The 13573-nt window shown below is 40.7% G+C and overlaps 2 annotated features.

Annotated features, from left to right (window-relative positions):
• Positions 10140 to 10209: an enhancer, noted in NCBI's record as "active region_16865". NCBI's record gives its function as "activates an Ori minimal core promoter by ATAC-STARR-seq in GM12878 lymphoblastoid cells {active_cell/tissue: GM12878}" and the evidence as "EXISTENCE:reporter gene assay evidence [ECO:0000049][PMID:35858748]".
• Positions 13004 to 13233: an enhancer, noted in NCBI's record as "active region_16866". NCBI's record gives its function as "activates an Ori minimal core promoter by ATAC-STARR-seq in GM12878 lymphoblastoid cells {active_cell/tissue: GM12878}" and the evidence as "EXISTENCE:reporter gene assay evidence [ECO:0000049][PMID:35858748]".

The following is a 13573-nucleotide window of genomic DNA, read 5'->3' on the forward strand; positions in this document are numbered from 1 at the left end:
AATCAACTTATTAGAATGCAAAAATGTATTGTGCTTAAGGTTAAGTTCAGCTTACAAATCTTTACTTTCTAAGTTTAGCAAATCGTAATCACTTTTAAGGGAACTGTGAACTGGTTCTGTTTACAAAGTTGGTTAATTAAGCCTTACTCTTTTATAGTCTTCCCATCTGTTAGGTCACACAATTCTTAAGTGTTAAAACGATGTCCTGTTAAATTCTAGGTCTCCCAGCTGTGTTTGACTATTTGGTCACAATTTCCAAATTGTTATTCTGACTGCTAAGTGATTTACTTTCAAAGTATTGCTCCAATAATGTTAAAGGTCTGGCTTCTACCACTTCATCTTAAAGGAATTTTTAATGAGTTTTTTTTTTTTTTAGCAATTGGGGTAAAACCCTCAAGGAACATCAGACTCACATAAAATAGTAATCTTAGTTCTTATTTCAACATCCATATGAAATCCTTAGTTACCATTATTTTTCCATTTTATTCTTTTAATTTTAAAATATTTGACAAAAAGATATTGAAGTATACAGTGTGATGGTTTTTTATACCAGTACATTGTATACTGATTACCACAATCAAGACACTGAAGTGGGAAATTACCTCTCCTAATTTTTGTTGACTTTATATTTAGTGCACTTTAGTCAATTTAGTTATTAAATATCTTAAGAATAACTTTCAGTAAAATGTTTAAAAAATTTCCTCTGCACAGAGCATTATGCTACATTTATGTAAATCGAGAAACCTACCTAAATACAGTTTTAAGTTTTAGAAGTTTCTATTGAAATGTTTGCTTTATTATACAATTCTATTTAAGTTTTCCATTCTAACTTATTAAAAGAATCAGCTTCTTCAGTCTCTGAGAAGTAGTGATAGTTCAATGTTGACATCAAAACATAATGTTGCAAAATGTAGATTAAGTACATCACATTGGTTCAAGATGGTAGTGCCACACATGTTAAAATCATGAACCCAATAATTTTTCTCACTTACTAAGAGTGACAAATTTTGTGAATTTCCTGTTAGTCCAAACAATTTGGTAATCAACCTAGCCTAGTTTTGCTGTGGGTGAGCACTAGTGATGGTATAAATTAGAATGTGCTTCATATGTACACATTCTGAAACCTTATGAGTCATCTTTGCATTAGAAGTTTGCACCTCATAAATTTGTTCCAAGTGCCATGTTCAACACCCACACATAATCCCAAGCAAGCATGGCCATTCTCTCGTAACTGTCACAGACACCCTATGTTGGCAGGTCACTTAGGCTGCAGTATGTAGGAAGCTAGTTAAGTAGTGCATACGTAGGTGGCATCTTACTGGTAACTGTTTCAGCAGAGACATTTTATAATTTTCTGAGACTACCTATCGTCTTCGACTGTGAACTGTTAAACCAAACGTCTGTGGTCTAGCACCCACCATACCCTGCTATTATCCTTCCCAAAAGACAAAGTGATTTTTTTTGGTAGCATGTTCTTACACTGTAGGCTCTTCAAAGTCTCATTGTTTTCATTATTTTCCCCCAAAAAGTATGTATTTTCCATCCCCAGATCCCTGACAACATAATGTAAGCATGTTTTTCATCAGCAGTTAAAATGAACTAGGTCATTCATTTTCTTTTTGAATTCAACCAATGTCTCCATCATCAGAAAATGCTCATACATTGACTTTTATGAGTTTCTTTTGCATATATTGGCTAACTTTCAAATTGGAGCACATCTTTCTGATTTTTATTGGTGAGAAGGCAACAGAAAAATTTGTATAGTGAGATAGGGACATCGCAGATACAGCCAGGTACTTGATTCCAATTCTTAGGATAATAAAAGGCAATTTCCACTTAAAAAATTAACATTAAAGGGGAAATTAATTAGAGGTTATGTAATTTATTCAAAGAGAGAACAATTTTAATATATTTTAATATTTAAAAGTGAGAGGAGAGGATTCCATTTCTCAAGACTTTTCCATTTCATGTCACAGGTATGTGACAGCTGGCTTATAAGGGAAGTCACTTTTTCTATGATTTCTTATTTAAAAGACAGGATCTAGTTCTGCCTTGCAAAGCAAAAGATTTAAAACTCAGGCTTATATTCTTAATCTGGTAGGTAGTGCCATATAAAAAATCCTCCATTTCCTAGCACTGGGCCAACTACTTTACATGTAATCCTCTGCAACTCCAGGAGGTACTTATCACCCCCATTTTGCAGATGAGAAAACAGACGTCTCAAGAGATAATAGTTATTCCACAACTAGTAGTAGGAACTTAAGCCAGTCACTTGTTCATGAGCACCCGATCCTGTCAAATATCCTTTGAACTGAGTGGCCTGTACTATGTGTAGACATTTTACATGGTAAACACTTTATAGATAAAGCTTGAATACACACATGTGGAAAGAACTAGGCCATATGTGAGTACTGATCAGCTGGTTGTTAGTGGTGTCTAGCCTGCAGCAGAGGCTTCCCAAAGAAAGTAAACATCAAGCCTTTCTGAAGGCAGCTACTGAAGCGGAGAAGTGAAAGGGCATTGCAGGGCTTTGGAATTAGCATGTCTGAAAGGCCCAGGTTGGGAAGCAGAAAAGCTACATTCCAATACCACTGGAAAATGTAATGGACTAAAGCAGAAAATTCAAATAAAAGTTTAATTAGATATAAAACATCTAGAAAAGAGTGCCTACTAAATGAAATCCTTTGAAACTCATACAAAGTTCTCATTCAATCTGGGAAGCAATTAGAAGTTGTTTTGTTTGTTTTTGTTTTTTGAGACAGGGTATTGTTCTCTTGCCCAGGCTCGAGTGCAGTGGTGCAATCTTGGCTTGCTGTAACCTCTGCCTCCTGGGCCCAAGCAATCCTCTCACCTCAGCCTCCTGAATAGCTGGGACTGCAGGTGTGCGCTACCATGCTCAGCTAATATTTTAAGGTTTATAAGCTGTTCCAAGACGCCCCCAAAGGGCTTGATTCTGGCTATGTTATGTGGAGGCAGTGACTAGGAAGCTGTTGCGGTTGTTCACCCTTCAGGTGGTCAAACTTGAGCAGTGACAATAAAGACCAAGGGGAACAAGAGTGAAGGATATGCAATTATTCAATTATTCATTCATTTAGCAAGCATTTGTTAAGCCACCTGCTTAAAAATGCCCAGGCATAGTGTTAGGAACTGCCCTTTAGGGACACAAATTAGCTAGGTTTCAAACCATGGTTTAACTTAATTTGCATCTCCAAATTTCACTCACAAATTATTTATTAATTACAAAGGAGACAAGTCAATTTTACAATAGTGAACTCTAGACTATTCTCCCTTCTTGCGCTAAGTGGAAAATTCTAGAAATAACACCTTTATTTAAAGGTTGCAAGGCTATCTTTATCATTAGTTGTGACCTAATTAATCCGTTTCACAAACCAACAAATTTGGCACTATTATCCTCATCTTATAAAGGAGAAACTGCACCAAGAAATTTAGGAACTCATTGATACCTAGAGAAGAAATCAGTTTGCAGGTGATAAGTATTATTTTTGCTCTGGTTTCTGTCTGTAATGAGAAGGAAAAATCAGATTGTGCATTTTAAAAATATAGGTTTTCTCCAGCTCCTTGATGTGGGCTAGTGTGAGGGCCCTAATAAGACAGTTGTGCAGGGACTGAGGAAGCAGCAGCACAGCAGCATAGCTACTGATGACTTGAGAGAAATTCAAAATTAAATGTAAGTATTATATTTTACCTGTGTCTTAAATTGAGGGTTTTTTGGTTTTGTTTTGTTTTGTTTTGTTTTGTTTTTGCGACAGGGTCTCACTTGTCACCCAGGCTGAAGAGTGCAGTGGTGTAACCATGGCTCATTGTGACCCCAACCTCAACAGCTGGGACTGCAGGTGCTCATGACACCATGTCTGGATAATTTTTTGAATTTTCTTTAGAGATGGAATCTCACTATGTTGCCCAGACTGGCCTTGAACTCCTGGGCTCAAGCAATCCTCCCACCTTGACCTCCCAAAGTGCTGGGATTACAGTTGGGAGCCATTGTGCCTGGCCATTAGGCACAATGGCTCCCAACTGTCTTTTTTAAAGATGGGGAAAATGTTTTTAAAAACTCAAGTTTCCTAAACACAACAAAAAATTATCCTCATTAACATTTTTAGGCACATCTAAGGACAAGGTGACCATAAGAACAAATTAAAATATGATTTTTGAGCCTGAAAGAGTTGTAATCTAAAACAGACAACCATTATCCTGAACAAATACAAAGAATGTAATAAAGCATTATAAACTGCCCACTACCCAGACTCATTCTCTGCTCCCACTCCAGGACATGAATGCATACCGGGAAATCAGTACCACTAGGGGCCACCCGGGAGACTGCCTTCCACAATGAGGGAGACAATGAATTCTATTTGGGACCTGTGGAGTTTGAGAGGCCTTCCGTTTATTTCAGTGGAGCTACTTAGGATTTACTTGGAGACAAAAGTCTGGAGATCAGGAAAGCCTGGAATTCAGGTCAAGACCGGGATCTTAGATTTGATAGTCATTGGAGTCTCCTAATTGGCCGCTGAAGCCACGGGAGTGAATGAGACAACAGGAAAATAAAAGAGGAGATGGGTAAGGCTAGATCTCTGGGAAATATTAACTATATGGGGTAGGTGGAACAACAACAAAAGCCACCAAGGATACCAAGAAAGAGCAGTCAGAGAAATGGGAGGACAACGGAGAGAAAGAAACATCCTAGAAGAACAGGCAGGAAGCCACAGAATAGAGGGTATTGGGAATGTCAAACTAGGTAAGAGTCAAGCAGGGTGAGAACAGGCTGTGGAAGCAGATTATTAAAGAGGCTACAGTTAACTTTAAGAACGTTAAGAGAGTGCTACCAAACAGGGTAATTGGGAAAAATAATTGATGCAATAGTTTAATTTACTAAAGTAAAACACAGCATACTGACAGAAGTAAACAGGAAGAATATGAAAATGAGTAATGGACTCACTATATGGCATCTTTTATTCAAATGTAAGGGTTGCCTGTTCCTCAATAAACACCACATTCCTCCTTTATTCAGAGAAGGTTGGAGAGATTTTCTTACAGCTGTTTGATACATCCAAGCTCACTAGGCACACCACCTTTGCACTGTCTGTACCTAAAAAGGTCAAAGAAGAATCCCATAGAACAACTAATCAGGCAACACCTAAAATTTACAGCACAGCAAATTAATGTAAAAGAAAACATTTTTTATTTTCTTTGTTTTTCCATAAATTTCAGTAAAATGACTTTTTAACTGCAATATATTAATGACTCTTGACCCAGGATACCAGGGTACCCTCATTGACATCTGGCTGTATATACTAGCCCATGTTTCTTTGGTTTAAAACACTTTGCTTATCTTATCACTGCTTATCTGTAGTTGTTATGGCTTCAAAAATATGTAGTGAAAAGCAGGCATGAAGAGAAGTTTTAGAAGGCAACAGTAACAATTCACTAATGATTTTTTAAAAAAGGACTTGAAATATGTTTAAGCCTCTAAAATATATTTATTTTTCTCCTGTTAAGAGCAGCTTTGACTTATGATCAGAACACTTTAATAGCAGTAGTTCAACCTAAACATATTCTTCCTGATCTCACAGAAATGATGAATTTTGATGACATTAATTCCTTGAAAGTAAACTACATCTGCTTCTAGCTTCTCCCATCAAAGAGAGTGAATTTATACACGAGAAATCCTAGAAAACAATATGTGCTCAACCACATATTTGGGGAAGAAAATATCCACTAAAACTCAAATTGGAATTGGAAGTAAAGAGCTATCATATTTTAAAATTTTAGTAGCCTACAATACACTACTCTTGAACTAAGTTGCAAGGTAATTAACTCATAAAGACTCCTGAGTTAAAGAAATTAGACTAATTGTTCCCATCCTTCGTAGTTTGCTACTTTTAGCTTAATAAAAATGGCTTTCAAAATTCACTTCATTCTCTCAAAAACATCTCACAGCATGTCCATTTTGTTTGTTTGACTGCAGATAGGGCACCAGAATGCGAATTCTGCCACATTATCACATGGGCTATGATACACACACAGAAGAATCAAAAAAGCCTGTTCTATTGAAAGAGTGTAGCATGTTGAGGTCACCTGTCCCATTTCCCAAAGCAAATCCAGGCCCAGCTGTTAAGTGACTTGTCAAAGCTCTCACACAGTGAACAAGTGACACAGCCAGAGACCCCAGGTCTCTGTTTCCCTAGTTCAGGTCTCATTTCCCTGCGGCACCCTTCTTCTCTGCTAGGTGAGATTTTTATTACTTAACAAACAACAACAATATAAACACAAAATTTTTACTATTAGTGGTTAGAGATAATTTAGGAAACAGGAGTTTGAGTCCTGGCTCATCCACTATTTATTTGACTGCCATCAAATCATTTTATATCCCCATATCTATAGCTGCATTTTTCTTATCCAGAGAAGAGCACTTTGGAAGTTCAAAGCCATGTGCTACAGATCAAAGGACGGGGAGTCAAAAAACCTTCATTTTACAACTAGTTTTATCTTCAGATGATGAGACCTGTAAGCAAGTCATTCAAGCTTTTTGAGCTTCAGTTTTCTCATTTGTAAGAGGTTATCATAAAAGATGCCCTCCAAATCCTGAGATTGTGGTGAAATCATGGCATACACAAGACATAAAGATGCTATAAAATTGTCACCGCCTTTTTAGGGGGTGCAGATTTTTAGGGGGTACTTTCTCACCTGATTCCATGCATATCCCCAAGAATCCATGAGATGAATCTTATAAACATTTAAGTTATTGCTAATATTTACTGAGGAAAACAAATTCTTGGAGTCAGCAACCTTTGTCTCGCCGTTGAAGAGCATGCTTTGCCTGCTCATTACAATCCCACGTTAAAGAGGCTTTTATTTGAGCACTCAGGAGGCACTGTCGTGCGGCAGAAGAACCCTGGATAATGTTCCGGATGTGTGGATTTCAGTCTTTGCCTTGACCATTGTATTTATGTGTGACTTATCAAATCACATTTTTGCCGTGCCTCAGTTTTCTGTTAAAAAGGGATTGGGCTTTAACTGGTTGTTAACTCCTGTGTCATGTGCCCTGTTGGTTAGCTGATGAAACACATTACTCCTTTCCTTATAACAGTGCATGCACTTAACCTCAACTTTTGCATAAATTTCAGTGGGTCCACAGCCTCACCCAAAACATAATAAAATCGAGGTTAAGAGGCCCTATTTGATCTCTTCTAGCTTTAATCGTCTAGGAAAGCTACAGCCAAACTGTATCTACTTTGGACAAAGATGACATTCCATTTTCAGTTAGCTTTTTCTTCATTAAAGTTCAACCCAACTTCTCCAGTTGTCAGGAGCTTTCTGAAACACTACTAAGCACAGGGTCACTCCACAAATAGCTGACATTTATGAGGGAAAGGATCTGATGGCCTCAATATTATTTAAAATCAGGACTGCTGAATCTGTCATCCCATATATTAAGTGCTGATAATTTTTTGGTTCTCACATTTATGCTTACAACTAATACATAATGCTACCTTTTTTTTTTCTCACTCTGTCGCCCAGGCTGGAGTGCAGCAGCGTGATCTCAGCTCATGGCAACCTCAGCCTCCTAAGCTCAAGCGATTCTCCTGCCTCAGCCTCCCTAGTAGCTGGAATTACAGGTGCACGCCACTACCACCTGGCTAATTTTTGTATTTTTAGTAGAGACGGGGTTTCACCCTGTTGGCCAAGCTGGTCTTGAACTTCTAACCTCAAATGATCCACCTGCCTTGGCCTCCCAAATTGCTGAGATTACAGGCGTGAGCCACTGTGCCTGGCCATATAATACAATTTTGTAAAATGAATTCTAAAGTCTCTGTTCATATTAAAAAGGAAAGTCAATACATCCAGATGCCATTTTCTACTCTGAAGAGATAAATGGAAAGGGAAGAAATTAACTTAAATTGTGTTCTTTTTCTCTCTTTAATGAAACCTGTTTTGGGAATCACGTGAATGAGTGACAGTCACATACTCTATCAATTATGTAATGACTGACCCCTATAGTGAGCTATTGGCAAGACTCTGTGATTGACTGGCATAGAGCCCATTCAAATGAGCTTAAGCACAGGGAAGTTTTCGAGAAGAATATAAGGACATCTTAAGGAACCCCAGGGCAGGAAGTACAGCCCAGCCTCAGGAGGAACTGGAGTCCAAGAAGCTGGGGAATTCAGAAGAAAAGGTGGTCCTCTGCATACCTCTCTGAGAGGCAGAGTGTTTCCTCATCCTCCCTTCCCTTTGCACACTTGCTTTGTCTCTCTCAGACCAGCAATGTCTGCTGCAAGATGCTCATGGCTGCCCAGGCCAGCCCGACAATAACTTTCTATCCAGACCCCAATCAAGACTGACCGGAGTCTCTAAAGCCCAATTCCAAATTATCTGCAGGGAGAATTTGACTGCTCCAGTTTAAGGCAGGAATACGTTTCAGTGAGCTGGGAGAAATTTGGCTGCATCACTGCCTGCTAGCGATTAGTAGGAGCCACGGGAGCAAAATTCCCAAGAAGCAGGCTTGTATTGGTTCCCTAAAAAGAAAGCATCGGGGCAGAGTGAAAATAATAGAGAAGGAAATTACTTTCCTCCCTAGCATGTGGCAGACCTCTAATCAAAGCGAGAGAGTCAATGGCATCAGGAGCGTCACGGCAGCCGGCTAAGCACGGACCTCTGATGCTTGCTCCCGTGGTCCGAACACACAGAGAGGAAGTCTTTACCTGGGGAAGACGCCCATGGCATAGCAACTACCATTTAACAAGAGGGGCAGAGAGAGTCTATGTTGGTCATATCTCTTTCCAGATGGATACCAACATTTGAGACTAATTGCAACCACATTCTGAAAACTTCATTAGGGAAATGTTAACTAGAGGGGCAATAAATAATACCAACTTTTATAACAAAAGTTATAGGACCATTTAACTACTAGTGTTAATCTCTATAACGATTTTTAAAGTTAGTTGGGAAAATGTAGCTTAGCTTTGCAACCATGAAACTGTATTAATTAGCACTGTTCCGGTTGCTAAAAGTATAAACTCGAGTTAGCTTAAGAAAAATTATAAATTTATTTTAAGAATAGAATGATATTTAAGGATATGGAGAAAAAGGACAGCTCTATTTAGACTAAAACTTGGAATTTAAAAAGTGTCAGGAACCCAGACAGTCCTCTTTCCACTGTTTCCTCTGGTTTTGCTTGTTTGTTTGTTTTTGTTTTGTTTTGTTACAGGGTCTCACTCTGTCACTCAGGCTGCAGGGTCGTGGCATGATCTCAGCTCACTGCAGCCTCGACCTCCCCAGCTCAAGGGTTCCTCCCACCTTAGCCTCCCAAGTAGCTGGGACTACAGGTACATGCCACCATGCCCAGAAGATTTTTGTTTATTTTTGTAGAGACAGGGGACTCACCATGTTGCCGAGGCAGGTCTCGAACTCCTGAGCTCAAGCAATCCGCCCACCTCAGCCTTCCAAAGTGCTAGGATTATAGGCGTGAGCCACTATTCCTGGCTTCACCATCTCCTCTGTTTCTCTTTGTGAGTCAGCTTCATGATCATCTCTGCAAACTGGCTTATACCCTCTCCCTAATTTACAAGGTGGAATATGACTGCCAACAATAGTGAGTTTACCCACATAGCAAAGTAATTTCTTAAAATATTAATGTGTGTGTGTGTGTTTCTGTTTTGCATTTCCTTGTGCTCACCCAGAGCCATCCACATTGACTTAAAGAGAGAATTAGAGTGGTTAGCTAGTGCTAGTATGCAAAAATAAAGAAACGGCCAATGCTTTTTTGTTGGTGGTGGTGGGGGGCTGTTACAAAATAGGCTTTTTTTTTTTTTTTTCTGAAATGAAGTCTCGCTCTGTCACCCAGGCTGGAGTGCAGTGGTGCGATCTCAGCTCACTGCGACCTCTGCCTCCCAGGTTCAAGTGATTCTACTGCCTCAGCCTCCTGAGTAGCTGAGACTACCGGCATGGGCCAGCAGGCCTTGCTAATTTTTGTATTTTTAGTAGAGACGGGGTTTCACCAGGCTGGTCTCAAACTCCTGACCTCAAGTGATCCACCCACCTCGGCCTCCTAACGTGCTGGGTTTACAGGCGTGAGCCACTGCACACGGCCAAAACAGACTCTTTTCTAAGAACCTATCAGAAATAATAGCTCTGAAAGCCAAAGCTTTTGATTTGAAGAATGAGGTGGGTTTTGTTGAAAGAAAGAAAGGATTGTGAATTGAGAGGGAAGATCTTGAAGGAAACAAGGTATACAATTTCTGTCCTAACAATAATACATTAGAAAGAAGCTGCAGGAGGACCCTGACTATGACCACCCTCTCCCCAGGGGGTAGGAGAGGTCAGGTCAGTGGAGCCCTGGGGATAAAGGAACAGGATCTTAGGGAAGCCGTATGGATGGAGGCAGAGTTGGCACCCAGAGACTGTGAGTACCTCACTCCCCAGGGCTGGGAGCCACATGGGGGAGCCTAGCCAGACCTACAGATCCAGGAGCACTGTGGAGTGAGCCCACACTGCCCCTGGTGCTTTTTGCCAAGGTGCCACAGTTATCTGGGTTTTGTTGCTTTGTGACCTATACAAGTTCTTCCACAGGCAGCAGCCAGCACATACCCTTGGCCAGCAAAAAAAGGGCTTCCTGGACTCAAGACTTAGCGATCTCCATCTGTTCAGGCCATAGTGGACAAGCAGCCTTTTGAACAGAGCAGGACATTCCTAAGCCTTCCCCAACAGAGGGCGGGCCTCATCCCAGAGCAGGGCTAGTGCTGTGGCGAAAGAGTACCACTGCCTCGTGCTTGGGTACCACTGGACAGCGGCGAATCTGACCTTGTCACTGGGTCTAGCTACATCAATTGCCACTGTCTATCTCCAAGCCTAATTCCAAATTCCCTGAGAAGGGACTCTGATTGACTTATCCTGGGTCAGGTGTCCAGTCCAGTTCAGCCAACTGTGGAAAGTGGAATGGAGATTGATCCACTTTGGGCATGGGAAGAGGGAACTTTAAGGAAGACACTATGAACTGGACAGATACTCCAGTGCACAGTTTCTTTTCTTTTCTTGAGACAGGGTCTCACTCTGTCACCCAGGCTGGAGTACAATGGCACAATCATGGCTCACTGCAGCCTCAACCTCCCAGGCTCAAGTGATCCTCCCACCTCAGCTTCCTGAGTAGCTGGGGCTACAGACGTGCACCATCACGCCCAGCTAATTTTTTATATTTTTTGTAGAGAGAGTGGGTTTTGCCATGTTGCCCAGGCTGGTCTCAAACTACTGGCCTCCAGTGATCCACCCACCTTGGCCTCCCAAAGTGCTGGGATTACAGGCATGAGCCACTGTGCCCAGCCCCAATACAATTTCATATGGAACTCTTTCCACAGTTTTAATCTGTAGTATCAGACCATTGCACGTCTTAGCTTTTAGACTTAGAGTATTCAATCTTTTATAAACTATGATGTAAACTTGGACACAATATTTCTGTGTCCCAGTTTCTTTACTTAAACTATAAAGATACTGGTAAAAGTATCTCTAGGATTTCTTATAACTATTTCAGATTCTGTGATTCTCTTCATTTCACCATATCTGTAGATGATGAAGGAGTTAAAAATATGCCACTCTCACATGTTGACTATTTTGAATTAAAGGCACTTGAAAATCAGCAGGTGCAAGTAGATCATTCTGACTTTGTTTCTGTTTTTAAAAAGTAGGAGATGAAATTCCCACGTGAAAGACACCCTCCCTATATGAGAAGAAAAGGCAACATTCTTATTACCAAGGGTGAGAAGTTGAGACCAAGAGAATTCTGTACAGACCTTGTTAAAATAACTCTTATTTTTTTAAGTCTTCCCAGAACTCTAGTTGCTTCTTCAAAACTTGCTTGGTCCAATCTTTGGCCAATTCAGTATATAAGTAATTGACTCTAATTTCTTCTTGGGTCTTCATTTCATTACAAGGCTCCTGTGCCATGTAACACATCTGTTACATTCATTTGTATGCTTTTCTCCAGTTGATCTGTCTTGTGTGAATTTAATTCTCAGGCCCAGACAAAAAGGAACTTAAGGGGGAGCCTCCCTCCCCTTCATGGCTACAGGCTGATCGTTCGGAGTTCGTGTTGAAAAATCAAATTCTGTTCTAAAATTACCTTTTATACCTGCAAACATGCCACATACCTCCTCACCACACAGCATGCCCCCACCCACCCACACTGTCTCCCACCCCCACCCTGACATAGATTCACATACTGGAAATTGCTTGTCTCTACTGCTCAGGATTAAAGTCTCTGTCTTGAACTTGAGAGGAAAGAGGATGTTTTGTAGGATGGACAGGCTGTAGTAGAGGGAGGAGAGGTTAGAGAGGTTAGACAGGGCAGAATGGAGTCTTTTCTCCAAGTCTAGGCAGGTTTGGGGTCCTCTGTGCAGTGGGGGTTTGGAGCCTGGGGCTGGATGAGTTATTCAGAGAACTTTGTGAGGCTTGAGGACAGGCCAAGTTGATTCAGGAGCTCAGGTGACAGGTGTGGTTGGGAGCACGGCTGTGACACCCCCAGGACCAGCAACCATGGGCATGGGCCCTGCACCCTGGACAAGGACTCTGGAGTTCTTGGAGGCTGGTGGCTACAGCAAGCCTTCTTCTCCCAGCAGCCTTGTGAGGAGCTGATGGGACGAAGCGAAGCTGAAGTAAAAGTAGAAGAAAGGTTACGGTGCATGATGGGCAGTGCTGTTGTGGTGTGGGGACACATTTAGGACTCATTTTGCCCTATAGGACAAGGTCCTGCAGTAACTCAAACAGGGACTAAAAGTGAGTAGATCTTTAAGATCCACAAAACTTTGTATCCAGATATTATGGGCTCAATTGTGTCCCTCTCCAAATTCATATATTGAAATCCTAACTCCAAGGATCTCAGAATGTGACTATATTTGGAGATAGGGTCTTTAAGGAGGTGATCAATTCAAAATGAGGTCATTAGGATGGGCCCCAATCCAATATGACTGATATCCTTAGAAGACAAGACAATTTGGACATAGATACATACAGAGAGAAGGCGATGTGAAGACACAAGAAGACCATCTACAAGCCAAGGAAAGAGACCTGGAACAGACCTTTCCCTCACAGCTCTCAGAAATAACCAACACTGCTGATGCCTTGATCTCAGACTTCTGGTCTCTAGAACTGTGAGAAAATAAGTTTCTGTTTAAGTCACCCAATCTGTGGTACTTGGTTTCAGCAGTCTCAGCAAACTAATTCACCAGAACACTGTTTTCTGAAGGAACTTTCTAGATCTCTGTACTTTATGGATTTCCTAATATCAGGGACTAAAAGATTCACTGAGTTACAAATGTAGTTTCTTACGGACAGAGAGAAGACACTGGTTTTATCCATGTAAAGCAACAGAACAGAAGAAAAAGCTCCACCTTCAGCTCAGCTGGTGACCAGTGGCCTCATAGGTAGTGCGTTGGCCACATTTTCATGTGATTTCCTAACAAAGTTCTCTGAAACATACCAACTAACTGTTTAATTGTTGAGGATTTCCCACAAAAGAAATTATTTTAAACTCAGAGCTGGTTTAAAAGGTAAGTAGTTTCTTTAC

This window comes from Homo sapiens, chromosome 2 (genome assembly GCF_000001405.40).
Source record: "Homo sapiens chromosome 2, GRCh38.p14 Primary Assembly".
In the NCBI taxonomy this organism is placed as follows: domain Eukaryota; kingdom Metazoa; phylum Chordata; class Mammalia; order Primates; family Hominidae; genus Homo; species Homo sapiens.